At 41.5% G+C, this 22,328-nt stretch overlaps 1 protein-coding gene and 1 pseudogene across 6 annotated transcripts in view; both read right to left on the bottom strand.

Moving 5' to 3' along the window:
* TMCO6 (transmembrane and coiled-coil domains 6) overlaps nucleotides 1–22,328 on the bottom strand; it is a 51,203-nt gene that overhangs the window by 28,479 nt on the left and 396 nt on the right. The window lies entirely within an intron of this gene.
* Nucleotides 9,851–10,169, bottom strand: RPL36P11 (ribosomal protein L36 pseudogene 11; annotated as a pseudogene).

Below are 22,328 nucleotides of genomic sequence, written 5' to 3'. Positions count from 1 at the left end.
CCTGCTCTGTCAATAACATCATGTAGAGCACTTTTTCATATGCTTATTTGCCATCTGTATATTTTCCTCAGTGAGGTGTCTATTAAAGTCTTTGCCCATTTTTTAATCAAATCAAGTTGCTTGTTTTTTATTGTTGAGTTTTAAAAGTTCTTTGTATATTTTGCACATCAGTTCTTCATCAGGTAAGTCTTTTGCAGACATATTCTCTTGGTCTGTGGCTTCTCTTTTCATTCTCTTGGCAATGTCTTTCATAGAGGAGACTTTTTAAATTTTAAATTTAGATTATCGATTCTTTCTTTTATGAACTCTGCCTTTGGTGTGGTATCTAAAAATTCATTGCCAAACCCTAGGTCATCTAGATTTTCTCCTGCGTTATTGTCTAAGAACTTTATAGCTTTGAGTTTTACCTTTAGGTCTCTTATCCATTTTGAGTTAATTTTTTTCAAAGGGTATAAAATCTGTGTCTAGATTCATGTTTTTGCATGTGGATTTCTAGTTGTTCCAGCACCATTTGTTGAAAAAAATTCTCTGGGAGCTAAATGATAAGAACTTATGAACACAAAGAAGGAAAAGATGGACACTGGGGTCTACTTGAGTGGGGAGGGTGGAAGAGGGAGAGTAGCAGAAAAGATAACTATTGGGTACTGGGCTTAATACCTGGGTGATGTAATAATATGTACAACAAACCCCCATGACACTTGTTTACCTATATAACAAACCTACACATATACCCCCAAACCTAAAATAAAAGTTAAAAAAAAAAGAAAAAGTAAAAAGCTCTCTCTTCTTTATTGTATTGTCTTTGCTCCTTTTTCTTTTTCTTTTTTGAGTTTCACTCTTGTTGCCCAGGCTGGAGTGGTGCAATGGTGTGATCTCAGCTCACCACAACCTCCACCTCCCAGGTTCAGACAATTCTCTTGTCTCAGCCTCCCAAATAGCTGGGATTACAGGCATGCACCACCACGCCTGGCTCATTTTGTATTTTTAATAGAGATGGGGTTTCGCCATGTTGGTCAGGCTGGTTTCGAACTCCTGACCTCAAGTGATCCATCCACCTCAGCCTCCAAAGTGCTGGGATTACAGGTGTGAGCCACCGCGTGCGGCCCGACCTTTGCTCCTTTTTCAAGGATCAGTTGACAATATATATGTGAGTCTGTTTCTGGGCTCTCTATTCTGTTCCATTGTTCTATTTTCTTCACCAATACCATACTGTCTTGATTACTGTAGCTTTATAGTATCTTGAAGTCAGGTAGTGTCAGTCCTCCAACTTTGTTTTTCCCGTTCAATATTATGTTGGCTATTCTGAGCCTTTTGCTCGTACCGTTTTGCATAACAGCTGCACCATTTTACATTCCCACTGTCAGTGCACAATGGTTCAAATATCGCCAATATTGAACACATGCTATTTTCTGGGGTTTTAAAAAATAGTAGCCATAATAATGAGTGTGAGGAGGTATCTCATTGTGGTTTCCATTTGCATTTCCTTAACGATTTGAGACCTTGAGTTTTTTTTTTTTTTTTTGACAGAGACTCACTCTGTTGCCCAGGCTAGAGTGCAGTAGCATCATCTCCACTCACTGCAACCTCCGCATCCTGGGTTCAAGCGATTCTCCTGCTTCAGCCTCCCGAGTAGCTAAAACTACAGGCATGCACCACCACACCGGCTAATTTTTGTATTTGTATTTGTATTTATTTTGTTTTTTTGAGACAAAGCCTCACTCTGTTGCCCAGGCTGGAGTACAGGGTGCGATCTCGGCTAAATGCAACCTCAGCCCTCTACGTTCAAGCAATTCTGCCTCAGCTTCCCTAATAGCTGGGATTACAGGTGTGCACTACCACACTTGGCTAATTTTTAGTACAGACGGGGTTCTGCCATGTTGGCCAGGCTGGTCTCGAATTCCTGACCTCAAGTGATCCTCCCACCTCAGCCTCCCAAACTGCTGGGATTACAGGTGTAAGCCACCACACCCAGCCTAATTTTTGTATTTTTAGTAGAGACGGGGTTTCACCATGTTGGCCAGGCTGGTCTTGAACTCCTGACCTAAAGTGATCTGCCCACCTTGGCCTCCCAAAGTGCTGGGACTACAGGTGTTAGCCACTGCACCCAGCCAAGACCTTGAGTATCTTTCATGTGCTTATTGGTCATTTATATATCTTCTTTGGAGAAATGTTTATTCAAGTACTTTGACTTTTTTTTTTTTCTTTTTTTGCCTGAGACGGTTTGGCTTCGTAGCCTAGACTGGAGTGCAGTGGCATGATCTCGGCTCACAGCAACATCCACCTCCCAGGCTCAAGTGATCCTCCTGTCTCAGCCTCCTGAGTAGTTGGGACTACAGGTACGTGTCACCACACCTGCCTAACATTTATTTTTTGTAGAGATAGAGTTCATCATGTTACCCAGGCTGGTCTCAAACTCCTGAGCTCAAATGACCTACTTGCCTTGGCCTCCCAAAGTGCTGTGATTACAGGCATCAGTCACCATGACTGGACCTTTGCCCATTTTTTAATCATGTTGTTTTGCTGTTATTGAGTTGCAGGAGTTCTTCATATATTCTAGTTATTAACCTTTTATCAGATATATGAGTTGCAAATATTTTCTCCTATTCCATACATTGCGTTTTTACTCTGCTGATTGCATCCTTTGATGCACAGAGTCTTATTTATTTTTTAAATTTTCAATGTTTTTATTATTTAGAGACAAGGTCTCTCTGTCACTCAGGTTGGAGTGCAGTGGCGTGATCATAGCTCACTGCAACCTCAGACTCCTGGGCTCAAGCACTACTCCCACCTCAGCCTCCTAGGTAGCTAGGGCTATAGGCCGGTGTCACCATGCCCAGCTAATTTTTAAAATTTTTTTTGTAGAGATATGGTTTACTATGTTGCCCAGGCTGGTCTTGAACTCTTGAACTCAAGCAATCCTCCCGCATTGGCCTTGGCCTCTCAAAGTACTGGAATTAAAGGCATGAGCCACCATGCCTGGGCCACAAAAGTTTTAGATTTTAATGTAGTCCCTTTATCTGTTTCTACTTTTGTTGGTTGTGGTGCCATATCCAAGAAATTATTGCTAAATCTAATGAAGCTTTTTTTCACTATGCTTTCTTTCTTCTTCTTTTTTTTTTCTTGAGATGGAGTCTCGCTCTGTTGCCCAGGCTGGAGTGCAGTGGCATGGCCTCGGCTCACTGCAACCTCCACCTCCTGGGTTCAAGTGATTCTCCTGCCTCAGCCTCCTGAGTAGCTGGGATTATAGGTGCCTGCCATAACGCCTGGTTAATTTTTTGTATTTTCACTAGAGACAGGGTTTCGCCATGTTGGCCAGGCTGGTCTCGAAATCCTGACCTCGTGATCCATCTGCCTTGGCCTCCCAAAGAGCTGGGATTGCACACATGAGCCACTGCACCTAGCCTTATGTTTTCTTCTAAGAGTTTTATACTTTTTGCTCTTATAGCAATTTGATCAATTTTTAGTTAATTTTTACATATGGTATAAAGTAAAGATCCAACTTCATTCTTTTGCAGGTGAATATCTATTTTCCCCAGTGCCGTAGTATGAAAAGACTTTCTTTTATCTATTGAATAGTCTTGGCACCTTTGTCAAAATCATTTGACCACATATGTGAGGGCTTATTTCTGAGATTTCTATTCTATTCCTTGGTCTATGTGTCTGTCTTTATGCTAGTACCACACTGTTTTGATTACTGCAACTTTGTGATAAGTTTTGAAATCAGGATGTATGAGATCTCCAACTTGGTTCTTTTTTTTCCCAAGATTGTTTTGGTCATTCAGGATCCCTTGAGGTTCCATATGAATTTTGAAATGAATTTTTCCATTTCTGAAAAAAAAAGCCATTGAATTGTGCTAAGAAATGCATTGTATCTGTAGATCACTTTAGAGAGTGTTGATATCATAAAAATATTAAGACTACCAATGAACATGGATTAACTTTCTGTTTATTTGTATCTTTAATTTCTCTGAGAAACATTTTGTAGTTTTCATTGTACAAGTCTTGTCTCCTTGGTGAAGTTTATTCCTAAGTATTTTATTATTCTTTTTCATGCTATTGTAAATGAAATTGTTTTCTTAATATCCTTTTCAGATTGTTCATGGTTAATATATAGAAACAGTGATTTTTCAGTGTTGATTTTGTATCCTGCAACTTTACTAAATTTGTTTATTAGTTATAACAGGCTTTTTGGAATTTTTAGGGTTTTCTACATATAAGATCATGTCATTTACGAATGGAGATTAATTTTACTTCTTCCTTTCCAATTTGGATGCCTTCTATTTCTTTTTCCTGCCTACTTGTTCTGGCTAGGACTTACAGTGCTATGTTAAAAGAAGTATTGAAAGTACTTCCCGCTGGGCGAGGTGGCTCATGCCTGTAATCCCAGCACTTTGGGAGGCCGAGGCTGGCAGGAAATCGAGACCATCCTGGCTAACACGGTGAAACCCTGTCTCTACTAAAAATACAAAAAATTAGCCAGGCGTGGTGGCGGGCGCCTGTAGTCCCAGCTACTCGGGAGGCTGAGGCAGGAGAATGGCGTGAACCTGGGAGGCTGAGCTTGCAGTGAGCCAAGATCGTGCCACTGCACTCTCCAGCCTGGGTGACAGAGCGAGACTCTGTCTCGAAAAAAAAAAAGGAATGAAAGAAAGAAAGTACTTCCCTTGTTCATGACCTTAGAGGGAAAGCTTTCAATTTCTTACCAGTGAGTATGCTGTTACATTTGTTGTTGTTGTTGTTGTTTAAAACAGAGTTTCGCTGTTGTTGCCCACCCAGGCTGGAGTACAATGGTTTGATCTCAGCTCACTGCAACCTCTGCTTCCCGGGTTCAAGCAATTCTCCTGCTTCAGCCTCCCAAGTAGCTGGGATTACAGGCATGTGCCACCACGCCCAGCTAATTCTGTATTTTTAGTAGAGACGGGGTTTCTCCATGTTGGTCAGGCTGGTCTTGAACTCCTGACCTCAGGTTATATGCCCTCCTCAACCTCCCAAAGTGCTGGGATTACAGGCATGAGCTACTGTGCCTGGCCGCATTTGTTGTTTTTTAAGATGAGAGATGGCCGGGCTCAGTGGCTCACGCCTGTAATCCCAGCACTTCAGGAGGCCAAGGCAGGCGGATCACAAGGTCAGGAGATCCAGAACATCCTGGCTAAAACGGTGAAACCCTGTCTCTACTAAAAATACAAAAAAATTAGCTGGGCATGGTGACGGGCGCCTGTAGTCCCAGCTACTCAGGAGGCTGAGGCAGGAGAATGGCATGAACCGGGGAGGCGGATGTTGCAGTGAGCCGAGACCGCACCACTGCACTCCAGCCTGGGCGACAGAGTGAGACTCCTTCTCAAAACAACAACAACAACAACAACAAAAAAAAACGATGAGAGATGAGCCTGGTGCAGTGGCTCATGCCTGTAATCCCTGTGCTTTGGGAGGCTGAGACAGGAGGATTGCTTAAGGCCAGGAGTTTGACGTTACAATGAGCAATGAACTATGATTGCACCACTATGCTCCAGCTGGGCACAACTGTATTTAAAAATAAAAATAATAATAATAATAGAAATAGCATGATTGTATGAAGATAGAAACAGTAGACGGAAAACTTGGTGAGACAGGAGAAAAGGGAGTCCTGCTGGAGCAATGTTCTTGAGTAGATAAAAGGGACTGGTACCTAGTTCACAAGTGGAGGGATTAGTTTTAGTGTAAAAACCGAAACAGTCAATTTGTAGTCTCACTCTGCTGGAAGGCAAAGTTTCTGGGCAAAGATGCTGATGGGTAGGTGTGGCTCACTGTTTAGAATTCAACTCAGATGTCACCCCATCTGAAAGGAGCTACTCCTGCCACCATTTTTTTTTTTTTTTTTTTTTTTTTTTTTTAGTCAGAGTCTCACTCTGTTGCCAGGCTGGAGTACAGTGGCACGATCTCGGCTCACTGCAACCTCTGCCTCTCAGGTTCAAACGATTTTCCTGCTTCAGCCTCCCAAGTAGCTGGGACTACAGGTGCATGCCACCACACTCAGCTAATTTTTGTATTTTTAGTAGAGACAGGGTTTCACCATGTTGGCCAGGATGCTCTCGAGCTCTTGACCTTGTGATTGGCCTGCCTCAGCCTCCCAAAGTGCTGGGATTACAGGCATGAGCCACCGTGCCCGGCCCCTCCTGGCATCATTTCTATCCTAACATCATGCATGATTTTCTTCACAGCATTTATCTCTATCAGAAATTGTCTTCTTTATTTGTATCTTTTTTGGGTTGAAAATTCCATGAGACCAGAGATTGTGTTGCTCTTGTTCAGTTTTGTATCTCCAGCCTCTGAAGCAGTGCCTGGTACATGGCAAATGTTCCATAAATCTTCACTGATTTGATTGATTGAAGAGTGGGCTGAGGACTAGACCAAAAGGAAAGTGAGGAAACAGTGAATAGTATTTTACTTCACTAAAGTCAAGTAAAAATATTTGCTGAACTGAGTTTGAAGACCATAAACTATGTGTCATGGTTCCAGTCTCAAGGATTGTGATCTTTTGTTTTCAACTTTGTCCAGCAGTGTGGGGACAGGATTCATTCAACCAAGGTCGGAGGTCGGGGTGCAGGGCATCCTCAGAGAGGCCCTAAGATTGGGCAAGTTGGCCTGGAGCGGTGGCTCACGCCTGTAATCCCAGCACTTTGGGAGGCCGAGGCGGGTGGATCACGAGGTCGCGAGATCGAGACCATCCTGGCTAACACGGTGAAACCCCGTCTCTACTAACAATACAAAAAATGAGCCGGGCGCCGTGGCGGGCGCCTATAGTCCCAGCTACTCGGGAGGCTGAGGCAGGAGAATGGCGTGAACCCGGGAGGCGGAGCTTGCAGTGAGCCGAGATAGCACCACTGCACTCCGGCCTGGGTGAAAGAGCGAGACTCCGTCTCAAAAAAAAAAAAAAAAAAAAAAAGATTGGGCAAGTTGTGTTAATAAAGCAAGGCTGAATAATGTGCCCTAAACAGGGAAGGAAGTGAGGCAAGGAGCGGGAAATGGACTGAGAGATGCAAGGGCTCCACTTCTACATGGCACTTTGTGGTCGGATGGTTGGTGTGATGTGACAGACTTTATGCTGAAACAGTGGAATGTTGTGGTTGTAGGACTTCCTTTTCTGATCTCAAATCAGTTTCCCTGTAAACTTCCTCTTTTGCTCCTGCTCTGTCATCTGGAATCAAAATGACATTAGTGTGTTTTTGTTGTTGTTCTACACTAAGTCAAGAGTTTTGCTCTCAAAAAAAACTTGCTCTCTCCCATCCAGTCTTCTTTTCTCCAACACAAACCCCACTTCTTCTAATGCTCAGAGCCCCTCATTTACCAGATCATGGGAGGCTCTTTATAAAACATTTAAAATCACATGTAATGGAAGACATTGAACACTGACTTGAATCTTTTAGGCTATCTAAAAATTGCTTATTCTTTTTTACATATGATATTGTGTATGATAGGTCTGATCTTGTGGTTAAGTTTAAGAAAGAATGGCTGCAAAGACATCACAAGGAAAGAAAACTACAGACCAATATGTCTTATGAGTATGGACACAAGAATCCTCAACAAAACACTAGCAAACCAAATCAAGCAACATATAAAAATAATTATGCACCATGACCAATTGGGATTTATGCCAGGAGTGCAATGATGGTTTTGACAGAGCAGGAGCACTGTCATCTTGGACAAACACTGCCACTTTAAGTTCCAGCTCCTTTTCTAACCTCATGCATTTCAAGGAAATCATTTCTATTCTAACAACAAGCAGCCACAAAGCGCAGACAGTAAAACACAGACAAGACAGCTCAGGCACAGAGGGAGAGGGGAAAATCTCCTGGGTAACCACCAAACTTCACACTCATACAATAGGCCCCAGTAAAACAGTGGGCCCTGATAAGCACATTCCTTTTCCTTTAGGTGCACTGAGATAGGGAAGCTAAAAGCAGACTGGGGGTGGCGGGAGTGATGGGAAGTATGCCTGTAGCTGCAGGAAGATGTATGGGAACAGACACAAAACTGTGCCTCCCAGATAAGCAAGACAAAGAGACACAGAAACATTCTGAGCCTATGATAAGCTCTCCTGCCCTGAACCCTTAAAAACTCTTAGTCTGGAAGAGAGAGTGGCTCTGACCTAACTTGGTTAGAAGCCCCTCTCAGGTTTATGCTCCAAAATAAACCTGTCTTTGTTGAGCTGCCTTTCATGTTTCTTTCCTCTTTAATTCTTACAGGTTTAACATCTGAAAATTAATGTAATACATCAGAAAAATAGAATTAGAAATAAAAAACCACGTGATTATTTAAATAAATGCAGAAGAAGCATTTGACAAAATTCAACACCTCTCACGAAAAAACACTCAACAAAAGGAAGGAAGGGAACTTTCTTGCATGGTAAAGGACATCTGCCAAAAAAAATCAGTTTATATCATACTTAATAGTAAAAGACTGCTTTTGCCTTAAGATCAGCAACAAAACAAGGATGTATTTTCTCACCACCTCTATTCAACATTGTACTAGAGGTTCTTGCCATGAAAATTAGTAAAAGAAATAAATGGCATCCAGGTTGAAAAGCAGGAAGTAAAATGATGTCAATTCACAGATTATATAATCACATATATTAAAAACTCCTAGTGATTCACTAAAATACATGAAAACTAATCAGCAAGTTCAGCAAGATTGCAAAATACAAAATCAATATACAAAAATCTATTGTATGTCAATACACTTAGAATGCACATTCTGAAAATTAAATTAAGTAAACAACTCTGAGCAGGTGTGGTAGCTCATGCCTGTAATCCCAGCACTTTGGTTGGCTGAGGCGGGAGAAGTGCTTCAGCCCTGAAGTTCATGACCAGCCTAGGCAACACAAGGAGACCATTGTTCCTACTAAAACTTTCTGTTTGTTTGTTTGAGACAGAGTCTTGTGCCGTCGCCAGGCTGGAGTGGAGTGGCATGATCTCAGCTCACTGCAACCTCCATCTCCTGGGTTCAAGCAATTCTCCTGCCTCAGCCTCCTGAGTAGCTGGGACTACAGGCACATGCTGCCACGCCTGGCTTTTTTTTTTTTTTTTTTTTTTTTAGTAGAAATGGGGTTTCACCATGTTGCCCAGGCTGGTCTCAAACTCCTGAGCTCAGGCAATCCGCCCACCTCAGCCTCCCAAAGTGCTAGGATTCTGGGCGTGAGCCACTGTGCCCAGACTGTTCCTACCAAAACTTAAAAAAAAAATTAGCCAGGCATGGTGGCTTGCACCTGTAGTCCCAGTTACTTGGGAGGCTGAGGTGGGAGGCTCACTTGAGCCCTGGGGCTTGAGGTTGCAGTGAGCTATGATAGTACCACTGCATTCCATCCTGGGTGACAGTGAGACTCTGTCTCAAAAAAAGAAAAAAGAAAAAAATTCCACTTGCAACAGCAGCAAAAAGAATAAAATGTTTAGGAACAAATATAACAAAAGAAGAGAAGAGCAGACTTACACTCTTAAAACTACAAAATGTTGTTGAAAGGAATTAAAGAAGATCTAAGTAAATGGAATAATATCCCATGCTCATAGATCTTATGATTGTCAAGATGACAATTCTCCCCTAATTCACCTACAGATTCAATGAAATTCTTTTTTTTTTGGTGTGTATGAGATATTGCATTATGATTAGAAATCATTTCCAGCACTTGCTTCTATGCCTGTTGCCCCATGCCCGAGGTAGGGGGCTTGGATCCAGGACAGGGTGTGGTCCTGCCCGGGGGTGGGTCCCAAACAGATGAACAGACTGGACCTCCCCTCCTTTCCAATGCCAGGGAGGCTGCTGAGGAGGACCACAAGTTCCATAATAAAATAAAGATTTTATTATGCTCACAGGGGAGGGTGGCTCATTCCTTGTGGGCAGCTGCTTTCCTCTTGGCGGCCAGGATGTTGCTCAGCTCCTCCTGCTTCCTGTTGGCACAGATGTGTGTCCCCACCCTTTTCTTGATGAACTTGAGGGCCCAGTTGTCCTTAGAAACCTCAAGCAACTCCATGGCATGCCGCTCGTTTGGGGCAAAGCCATACCCCTTTCAGGCCAGGTCTGCACAAACTCAGTGTTCTTGGTGAGGTGCCCATGGTGGTGGCGACTGAGCCTGGGCTTTCTCCTTACCCCATCATTACCTGGGCCCTTGCTGAGACCCCAGTCATGGGGTGGCACAGAGCCATGGCTACTCCTTTTCAATCTCAATGAAAGTCTTATAAGAATCCTAGCTGGTTTCTTTATAGAAATTGACAAGCTAATTGTAAAGTTTATATAGAAGTTCAATGGGTGCAGAATAGATAAAACAACCTTGTAAAAGAAGAGCAAAGTTGGAGGACTCACACTTCCTGATTTCAAAACATTATTGCAAAGCAACAGTAACTAAGACAGTGTGGTAGTAGCATAAGGATAAGCAGACAGATCAATGGAATAGAAGTGAGAGTTCAGAAATATACCCACATGTCTATGGGAAACTTATTTTGACAAGGTTGTCAAGAACATCCAGTAAGGAAACACTAGTTTCAACTAATGGCAAAGGGACACCTGGATATCCATATGCAGATGTATGAAGTTGGACCCTTACCTCAAATCATATACAAAAATTAATTCCACATTAATTGATTACCTAAATGTAAGAGCCAAAACCATAAAGCTCTTAGAAGAAAACACAGAAACTAATCTTTGTGGCCTTTGATTTAGCAGTGGATTATTAGATATGACTCCAAAAGCCTGAGCAACAAAATAAATAATAATAAACTGGAATTCAAAATTAAAAGCTTTTGTGCATCAAAAGGCATTACCAAATAAAGTGAAAAGACAACCTACAAAATGGGAGAAAATGTTGCAAATTATATACCTGGTAATGGTTTACTACCCAGAGTTTATATAGGATTCCTACAACTCGGCAACAAAAAGGCAAACAAATCAAGTAAAAATATGGGAAAAGGGCTTGAATAGCCATTTCTCCAAAGGCACACAAATGCCTGAAAGTCCATGAAAAGATGCTCAACATTATTATTCATTAGTAAAATACCAAAAACAAACAGGCAAATTAAAACCTGGGCAAAGAACTTGACTGAACATTGCCACAAAGAAATTATAATAAATGACTAACAAACATAAGAAAAGATGCTCAAAATCATTGGCCATTAAGGTAATGCAAACCAAAAACACAATGAGAGGCTGGGCGCAGTGGCTCACGCATGTAATCCCAGCACTTGGAGAGGCCGAGGCGGGCAGATCATTTCAGGTCAGGATTTCGAGACCAGCCTGGCCAACATAGAGAAACCCTGTCTTTACCAAAAATACAAAAATTAGCCAGGCCTGGTGGTGAGTGCCTGTAATCCCAGCTACTTGGGAGGCTGAGGCAGGAGAATCACTTCAACCTGGGAAGCGGAGGTTGCAGTGAACCGAGATTGCGCCATTGCACTCCAGCCTGGGCAACAGAGAGAGACCCTGTCTCAGAAAAAAAAAAAAAAGAAAATAGAAAAGCCACAATGAGATACCACTTCACACTCACTAGTATAGCACTAATCAACAACAATAAAAAAAATTGGAAACAAGTGTTGGCAAGAAGGTGGAGAAGAAGGAACCCTCATAAATTTTCGGTGGGAATGTGATATGGTACAGCCACTGTGGAAAATAATTTAGCAGTTTGTCAAAAAGTTAAATATATAATTAATTTTACCATATAATCCAATAATTGTACTCCTCATTATATACCCAAAAGAATTGGAAAGGCATATCCAAACAAAATTTTGTACCAAAATGTTCATATCAACACTATACACTATAGCTAAAACATGGAAATGATTCAAGTGTCCACTAGTGGATAAATGAATACATAAAATGTGGTATACACAGACAACGGAATATTATTTAGCCACAGAAAGTAATGACGTCTGATACATGTTACAACATAGATAAACCTTGACAACATTATGCTAAGTGAAATAAGCCAGACACAAAAAGGCAAATATTGTATGATTCCACTTATGCTGAGTATCTATAATAGGTAAGCTTAGTCAGATGGTAAGTAGATTAAAGGTTAATGGGTTCTAGAGGGAGAGGAGACAGGGAGTTATTGCATAATGGGTACAGAGTTTCTGTTTAGGATGATGAAAAGCATTGTAAATAGTAGCAATGGTTGCACAATATTGTGAATGCAATTAATACCACTGTATTTATTATACACTTAAAAATGGCCAAAATAGCAAATTTTATTTTAAACAGTAGTCTATAAGGTTTTTTCCATTATTATTATTATTATTTTTTTTTTTTACTTTTTAAACTATTTTGTTAAAAACTAAGACACAAACCACACACATTAGCCCGGGCCTACACAGAGTCAAGCTCATCAACATCGTTGTATTCCACCCCCACATCTTGTCCCACTGGAAGGTCTTCAGGGGCAATTAATAAGCATGGAGCTGTCATCTTCAGCCTCCCGAGTAGCTGGGACTACAGGCGCATGCCACCATGCCCAGTTAATTTCTTTTGTATTTTAGTAGAGACAGGGTTTCACCGTGTTGCCCAGGTTGGTCTCGAACTCCTGAGCTTGGGCAATCTGCCTGCCTCGGCCTCCCAAAGTGCTAGGATTACAGGCGTGAGCCACCACACCCAGCTGGGCAATAGAGATTTTTCTGCTCCATTATAATCTAATGGGACCACCCTTGTTTATACTGTTCAAGTTTGACCAAAACATTATTATGTGGTGCATGACTATGTATATATTGCCAGAATTAAAATTAAAAATTAGAGCATAGATAAACAAAATAAGGAATGGAAAAAATAGAAAATCGGTAAAACCAAGAGTTGGTTCTTTTAAAAGATCAACAAAATTGACAAACCTTTAGTCTGAGAAAAAAAAGAAAGTACAAATAACTAAAATCAGAAATGAAAGTACCAGCCTGGGCAACATAGACAGACCCCATCTCTACAATTTTTTTGTTTATTTAGCCAGGCCTGGTGGCACACATCTGTGGTCCTAACTACTTGGGAGGCTAAGGCAGGAGGAGTGCTTGAGCCCAGGAGTTCAAGGCCGCACACCACTGCACTCCAGCCTGGGTGACAGAATGAGACCCTGGAAAAAAAAAAAAGAGGAAAGAAAGAGAGAGGGAGGAAGGAAGGAAGGAAGGGGAAAAGGAAAAGGAAAGGAAAGGGAAGGAAAAGAAGGGGGGGAAGGGGGAGGGAGGGAGGGAAGGAAGAAGGAAGGTTAATTAAAGTGGAACATTACTACTGACCTTACAGAAATTAAAACGATTGAAAGAAAATATTTTGAACACGATATGCCAACAAATTAGGTAATCTAGATGAAATGGACAAATTCCTAGGACACACTTATTGCCAAAACTGCCTCAACAACATATTTATAACAAGAGATTGAATCAGTAACCAAAAATCTCACAACAAAAAAAAGTTCAAGACCAGATAGCTTCACTGGTGAATTCTACCAAATATTAAAAAGACTTAATGCCAATCTTACTTAAACTCTTTCAAAAAACAGAAAAGGAGGAAACATCTTCTTTCTTTGTGTGTGTGTGTGTGTGTGTGTGTGTGTGTGTGTGTGTGTGTGTGTTTTGTTTTTTTTTGAGACAGAGTCTCGCTCTGTAACCCAGGCTGGAGTGCAACGACGAGATCTCAGCTCACTGCAACCTCTGCCTCCTGGATGCAAGCGATTCTCCTGCCTCAGCCTCCCAAGTAGCTGGGATTACAGGCACCCACCACCATGCCCAGCTAATTTTTGTATTTTTAGTAGAAATGGGGTTTCACTGTGTTGGTCAGGCTGGTCTCGAACTCCTGACCTCAGGTGATGCACCCGCCTCAGCCTCCCAAAGCACTAGGATTACAGGCGTGAACCACCACACCTGGCCTAAAGATGCCACTTTTACCACTTATATTTACTACCGTACCAGAAGTTTTAGCCAGAGAAACTAGGCAAGAAAAATAAATAAATAAAGGCATCCAATTTGGAAAGGAAGAAGTAAAATTGTATTTGCATATGATATGATTCTATAAATAGAAAGTCTCATAGAATTCACAAAAAAACTATTGGGGATAATAAATTAAGCAGTTTCAGACTACAAGATCAACACACAAAAATTAGTTGTTTCTATGCAATAGCAATTTAAAATCCAGAAAGGAAATTAAGAGAATAATTTCATTTACATGTTTTCAAAAAGAATAAAATTCCTTGGAATACAATTACCAAAGAGGTTAAAACCTTATAAAATGAAAACTAGAAAACATTGCTGAAATAAATTAAAGAAGACCTAAATAAATGGAAAGACATCCCTTCAATGTTTATGCATTGGAAGACTTAATATTGACACAGAACAACTGTATAGGATTAGAGCCTGGAAATAACCCAAACATCTATAACCAACTGATTTTTGATAATGAAGCCAAGATTATTCAATGGAAAAAAGAAATCTCTTCAAAAATAATGCTGAGAAAACTGGGTAGCTAATATGCAAAAAAAAAAAAAAAAGAGAAATGACACTAGACCATTACCTCTCTCCATATACAAAAATTAACTCAAAATAGATTAACAACTTAAATAACAGAACTAAAGCTATGAAACTGTTAGAAGAAAACCTAGGGATTAATCTTCATGACCTCTGATTTGGCAATGAATTCTTAGATGTGACACCAAAAGCATGAGCAACAAAAAAAAGTGATAAATTGGACTTCATAGAGATTAAAAACTTTGGTGCATCAAAGGACACTATCAAGAAAGTGAAAAGACAGCCTTTGAATAGGAGAAAATTATGAAAATTATATATCTGATAAGGGTCTAGTATGCAGTATATATAAAGAACTTTTACAACTCAACAACAACAAAGACAATCCAATTTTATTTTTTATTTATTTTTTTGAGACAGAATCTCACTGTGTTGCCCAGTCTGGAGTGCAGTGGGATGATCACAGCTCACTGCAGCCTCTACCTCCTGGGCTCAAGCAATTCTCCTGCCTCAGCCTCCTGAGTGCTGTTACTACAGGAGCACACTACCACACCCAGCTAATTGTTTTGATTTTTAGTAGAGACAAGGTGTAGCTATGTTGCCCAGGCTGGTCTCAATCCAGTTTTTAATAAGGCAAGCAACTTGAATGGCTATTTCTCCACATAGGCTATACAAATGGCTAACAAGCATATGAAAAGATGTTCAACATCATTGATCATAAAGGGAACGCAAATTAAAGGCACAATGAGATATCACTACACACTCACCATACTGCTATAATGATAAATTTTTTAAATAAAATAACAAGTGTTGGTGAGGATGTGGAAAAACAGGAACTCTCATACCTTGCTATTGGGAAAGTAAAATGGTGCAGCTACTCTGGAAACAGCTAGCAGTTCCTCAAAAAGTTAAACATATAATTACCATATGACCCATCAATTCTACTCCTTAGTATATACTCAAGAGAAATGAAAACATATATCTACACAGAAACTTGCACACAAATGTTTATAGCAGCAGTATTCATAATAACCGAATGGTGAAAATAACCCAAATGCTCATCAACAGATGATGGATAAATAAATTGTGATATGAACATTTAATGGAATATTATACAGCAAAAAAAAACCCCAAATATTGATACATGCCACAACTTGGATGAACTTTAAACTAATGCTAAGTAAAAGAAGTCAGACACTGGCCAGGCACAGTGGCTCACACTTGTGATCCCAGCACTTTCGGAGGCCGAGGCGGGCAGATCACCTGAGGTCAGGAGTTTGAGACCAACCTGGCCAACATGGTGTAATCCTGTTTCTACTAAAAATACAAAAATTAGCTGAGTGTGGTGACGAGCACCTGTAATCTCAGCTACTTGGAAGGCTGAGGCAGGAAAAGCGCTTGAACCTGGGAGGTGCAGGTTGCAGTGAGCCAAGATCACGTCACTGCACTCCAGCCTGGGCAATGGAGTGAAACTCTGCTTCAAAAATAAAATAAAATAAAATAAAATAATAAAATAAAATAAGCCAAACACTGAAAGTCACATGTTGTTATTGTTTGCCTTCTTTTATATAATATATCCAGAATAGGCAAATTCATAAAGACAGAAAACTGCTTAGTGGTCACCTGGGGAGGGGAGAGAGAGGAATGGGAAGTGATTACTTAATGGGTATGGCATGTGTTTTGGGCATGATGGAAAAGTTTTGAAACTAGAAAGAAGTGATGGTTGCACAACAGTGCGAATACACTAAATACCACTGAATCATACACTTTTTTTTTTTTGAGACAGAATTTCACTCTTGTTTCCCAGGCTGGAGTGCAGCGGCACTATCTCGGCTCACCCTGGCTAATTTTTGTATTATTAGTAGAGACGGGGTTTCACCATGTGGCCAGGCTAGTCTCAAACTCCTGACCTCAGGTGATCCGCCCACCTTGGCCTCCCAAAGTGCTGGGATTACAGGCGTGAGCCACCACGCATGGCCATTTTTCTTTTCTTTTTTCCTTTCCTTTTTTTTTGTGTGTGTGTGTTTGTGTGTGTGTGTGAGAGAGACAGAGTTTTGCTCTATGGCCAAGGCTGGAGTGCAGTGGCATGATGTTGGCTCACCGTAACCTCCACCTCCCAGGTTCAAGCGATTCTCCTGCCTCAGCCTCCCAAGTAGCTGGGATTATAGGTGTGTGCCACCACGCCTGGCTAATTTTTTGTATTTTTGTAGAGATGGGGTTTGGCTATGTTGGTTAGGCTGGTCTCAAACTCCTGACCTCAAGTGATCCACGTGCCTCAGCCTCTGAAAAGTGCTGGGATTACAGGTGTGAGCCACCACTCCCAGCCACACTTTAAAATGACTAATTATATGTAACATGAATTTCACCTCAATTAAGAAATTCAAAAAGACGAAATGAAACTGTAAACAGTTACAAACTGCTCTAAGTACTATAAGTGGGATGTGTAGGGCGGTGTTGAGGCCTAGCAAATGCCTGGCTCTGACTGGACAGCAGTGAGGTCATCACAGAGGTGACACTGGAGCTGGGTTTTGAGGGAGATGTAGGAATTCGGGAGATTGCAAGTGTAGGAAGTGAGAGAAAAGAGGTTCTTTTTTAAAAAGGAAGAGAAGGAACCATGCAGAGGGAACAGAATAGGCAAAGCCTTGGAGGTGTGAGTAAGCAATTCTCATACTGAGTACTAGAAAAGTTGGAGACCTAGTGTATATGGAGAATAGAAATAGTAGGAAAGGAAGGCAGAAGCCACATGATGAGGGGTTTGGCAGTCCATGTTGATGCCTTTGGACAAGGAATTAAGCAGGATTTATTTCTTGGGGGAACAGCATGGGCAACATCTTGTTGCCTAAATTAAACTTTCTATATGTTGACCATATTTTATTGTATTCGCTTAAAAATATTCATGAATATACTGCTTAGTATGTGCCAGGCACTGTCCTAAAGCTTATTATTAACTCACTTAATCTCATCAACAGTTGTTCTCAAAGTCTAGACTCCACTGGAATCTCCTAGAAGTCTTAAAACACAGAAACCAGAGTTTCTGATTCAACAGGTATGGTGACGCCTGAAATCTGCCTTTTAATTCAATTATCAGGAGATGCTGAGACTGCTGGCACAGGGAATACACTTTGAGAAACACTGCTTTACGTCATCCTTATAAGGAAGGGAGCATTATATTACCATAGTTCTGAGATTGTGTCACTGCACCCCAGCCTGGGTGACAGAACGAGACTCTGTCTCAAAAAAATAAATGGAATAAGGCTGACGTGAATGGGGTCAAAACAACGGTCTTAGAGCAGTACTCTGAGAGGTTGAGGTGGACCAAAGGGAGCCCCTGCTGTTGTCCCAACATGAAGGGCCCTGGACAAATATGATTTATCCAACCTTGTTTGGAGGAATTCAAGAAACCTTACCTTGAATCACCTGGGGCAATAGTCCCATAACCAAATCAGTATAAGGATTGATGACAAATGGGTCAGCTTCCTTTGGTTCACTACCACCACCACCCCATACCCCCACAGCCATTGCAGACCCAAGGCCTTATGCACATCAGTGAGAAAAACTGTCAGGGTGGAAAAGGGACATTTCTAGGACTCCTTAACATAGGAGCCACATACACTGTAGTCCCCTGCTAGTGAGCCCTCACTAAGACCACAATTAGAACAAAAGTGTATAGAAATCAAGGGTGGATGGGATTAAGGGATAAAAATAGAGTGTTTAGATGGGATTTATGTGAAGGGGTTGTAGCTCCTATACACGGATGTTTTAAGAGAATGAATATTATGTCTTAATGGGGCACACTTTCCCTACCTAGTATTTATAAAATGAAAATCTGTTGGTGAAGTCCTAGTGGAAGCTTCAGTCAGGGATGCAAGGGTTGATGAAACTAAAGTGACAAAAGTTTGGATTAAAATTCGTATGTTTGAACAGTTTGTATGTGTGAATAGCATCTCTTTTCGTTGAATGTAGTATGGGGATATTGTATCTGACCGTGGAACATTTCCCCTCCCTAGTATTATAAACAGAAGGCACATAAATTCACCCTTTGGGGCCAGGCCCACTGGTTCACACCTGTAATCCCAGCACTTTTGAGAGGCTGAGGCAGGTGGATCATGAGGTCAGGAGCTTGAGACCAGGCTGGCCAAAATGACGAAACCCTGTCTCTACTAAAAATACAAAAATTATCCGGGCACAGTGGCGGGTGCCTGTAACCCTGCTACTCAGGAGGCTGAGGCAGGAGAATCACTTGAACTCGGGAGGCGAAGGTTGCAGTGAGCCGAGATCGCGCCACTGTACTCCAGCCTGAGTGACAGAGCAAGACTCTGTCTCAAAAAAAAAAAAAACAAAACAAATTCACCCTATGGGTAATATTAATTGGATGTGCTAAAATGGGAACAAATAAGATGGCCCAAGTCACACTGATTGTTAATTTCAAACAGTATAAAATAGAAGCTGAAGTGCCAGTAGGGAAAATTCTCTGTACAATAGCCCTGTGTGAAGTATAGGCTGGAGCTTATGGCAAAAGTCTGTGAGTGCCACCCAGCAATAACTGCTGGGACTTTGGACCAGAGAATTCCCATTTGCAGGGAAATTACTTATTTCTTATCAGACATTAAGTAAAACTTCCACTATAACTGAAAGATATAAAATAATCTTAAACATAAAATACCCATAACATTTTGGATGATGTTGGAGAAACCATTCAATGGGGAGAGAAGTGCCTGGAAGAGCTCCATAACAAAATGGAAGTTGTTTCTGATGGAACATACCACTGGGGGAATGCCAGGAGATACCATATTTCCAAGCAGATAGACTTTTTCCCCTAGAATTGACTTTTGAACCACCTGAGGAGCTGCCAGATTTTATTTTATTTTATTTTATTTTATTTTATTTTATATTTTATTTGAGATGGAGCCTTGCTCTGTCACCCAGGCTGGAGTGCAGTGTTGCGATCTTGGCTCACTGCTCACTGTAACCTCCGCCTCCCAGGTTCCAGCGATTCTCCTGCCTCAGCCTCCCGACTAGCTGGGATTACAGGTGTGCACCACCATGCCCAGCTAATTTTTATATTTTTAGTAGAGATGGGGTTTCCCCATGTTGACCAGGTTGGTCTCAAACTCCTGACCTCAGGTGATCCGCCCTCTTCGGCCTCCCAAAGTGCTGGGATTATAGGCGTGAGCCACAGCACCTGGCTGGAGCTGTCAGATTCTACTGCTACCTGGAGAGTGTCCTATAAACAGCAAAGAGCTTCTTGGTTTATAATCGCAGTTCCAAGGTGAATGTGCAGCATCTTGTTTGGAAGGCTAAGAAGGTAAAAACAACTTACCTTATAGGCTATTGCATTCTGTTTGCCACTACATTTGGGTTTTTACTGATTCATGGGTGGTGCATACTGACGTGATCATATGGTCAGGCTGAAGAGCAATAGAAAACTGCCCTCTTAAAGGGATCCCCTAAGAAAATCACTATGGAAATTTGAGGGATAGATTAAAGTAGGACATATCAATGCCCAATAGAAGAATCACTTTCCTGGATTGGAAGGTGATTGGCACCAGTGAGTGAATTTCCCAGTGTGCTCACTTGAGGTGGCCACCTGGGTCCATGGAATGAGTGGACCTAAGAATACTGTGGCAATGTAGAGATCTAGACATATTCCTCTTGCACCCTTTGAAGCACAAAATGCCAACAAGAACTGTTTTGTCTGCCAGCAAGAGAGACAGAGAATGCAGGTGGCCCTGGGGCACATTCCCCCGTTGGAAGGCCTCACACATAGCTGGTAGATAGATTACATTGAACAAATGCTGGCAGCCCTGGGGGCTACAAATGGGGTCTGACAGGAATAGACACTTACTTTGGTTTTTTGGTTTTTTTGTTTTTGAGATGGAGTCTTGGTCTGTCACCCAGGCTGGAGTGCAGTGGTGTGATCTCCGCTCACTGCTACCTCCTCCTCCTGGGTTCAAGTGATTCTCCTGTCTCAGCCTCCCGAGTAGCTGGGATTACAGTCGCCTGCCACCACACCTGACTAATTCTTTTGTAGTTTTAATAGAGACTGGGTTTCACCATGTTGACCAGGCTGGTCTCAAAATTTGACCTCAGGTGATCCATCTGCCTTGGCCTCCCAAAGTGCTGGGATTACGGGCGTAAGCCACTGCACCCGGCCAGGAATAGACACTTACTTTGGACTGGGCTTTGCACACCTAGTGGTAGATACGAATGCTGAAAATACTATTAAATTATTGGAACAAAAGATACTGTACTAATTTGGACCACCAAGTTACATTTCTTCAAACCAAGAGTCACACTTTACAGCCCATGATGTCCAACAGTGGACAAAGAGATATCACATCAAACAGACATACCACGTTGCATTGTCATCCTCAGAGTAGCAGTTTAATAGGGAATTGGAATGAGCACTTGAAACATTCATTGTCTAAAATGAGGTGAGTGAGGGTGCAGTGGCTCATGCCTATAATCCCAGCACTTTGGGAGGACGAGGCGGGAGGATCACTTTAGCGCAAGAGTTCAAAGCTGCAGTGAGATATCATGCCACTGCACTCCAGCCTGGGCAACAAAACAAGAACCTGTCTCTAAAAAAAAAAAACCAAATAAAATAAGAAAATAAAATTTAAAAATCAAGTAAAATGGGGGAGGGGATAAAGTTATGAAGCACTTGTTTAAATGTTTTCATGAGGGTATGCTCACATGCACCATGAGGGGGCCAAGGGAGAATCCCCATTGGAGAGATTCCTCCATTTTTCTAGGAAAATCTAGGGGAGAGGGGTTGAGGGAGGGTGTTGGTATGACTATATGATTCTTGCCCACATCACCTCAACTTTCTTTTTTGCCATCTGATGCAGAGGTTCCAGGACTAGAGATACATCTGCAGGTGCCAGAAGCATAGATAATTCCTAGGCAAGACATTGTAACTATACCTTTAAATCTTTATTTCAGCATTTCTAAGGACCCTATAGGTTAAGTTGTGCCCTCAACCCATCTGGCAAAATTTGAGTTGACAGTAAATGCTGCTGTATCATCCAGTGGCTAAGATAGTCCATTAGTCCTGTAGCTATATAGCCCTAATCTATATAAATTGGAGTGGACTGAAGGGGAGGCACTTGTTAAACTACTATTGTTGCCAGCAATCTGGACTAGCACAGTGGCCTCTCCTAATGTCCCTTCCAAAGGTAGAAAAGTTTGGGTATAAATGAGAGAATGAAGAATAATAGCTGAGGGTATGGAATGAATAACCCAATTAGGGAAATCCAATATTATGCTAACACTTTGAAAGAGACCCAGAGCAAGGGATGATATGGTTATACCAGAGGTCTGAAAGGATGAAGCCATATTTTGCTGAGACCACACCTGCTTTTGGAATTTAACAAGATTGAATGGAAGCCTGCACACCTGGGTGGCCTTTCTGTGGGAGACATTTTGGTCATAGTATATGATAATGAACTGATTACTCTTATATTTCATATTACATCTACCTCAATTTGATATAATACAGCCATTATTGGCAAGATTATAATACTGTACTGAAACTGATAGCCAAATGTATTGCAAAATTGGATTTAAGACCTCCTATCCCTACCCCACACTGACTTCTCCAAATATTAGGCATATTCATGTTGGTACTATTGCTGTATCTGTTATATAAATGCTACACCAAATGTGGATGATCAGACAGGTATGATCCTTTTGCTGAAAAGGCTAGGGGGTGGCCTGTGATATAATAAAGAATATGTCTGGTCTTCAACCCCAGTTCCTGGCACAGAGCTTCAAAAATCTTTAGAATTATAGGAGCCTGTTATGCTAATGAGTTGTGCAAGGCAGGTTTACTCTGCACTGGTTACCAACTTATCTGAGGCTGGTGAGACACAACACCCT

The sequence above is a fragment of the Homo sapiens genome, chromosome 5 (genome assembly GCF_000001405.40).
Source record: "Homo sapiens chromosome 5, GRCh38.p14 Primary Assembly".
Lineage (NCBI taxonomy): Eukaryota > Metazoa > Chordata > Mammalia > Primates > Hominidae > Homo > Homo sapiens.
The sequence above is the reverse complement of the archived record's forward strand: the minus strand, read 5'-3'. Positions and strand labels throughout refer to the sequence as shown.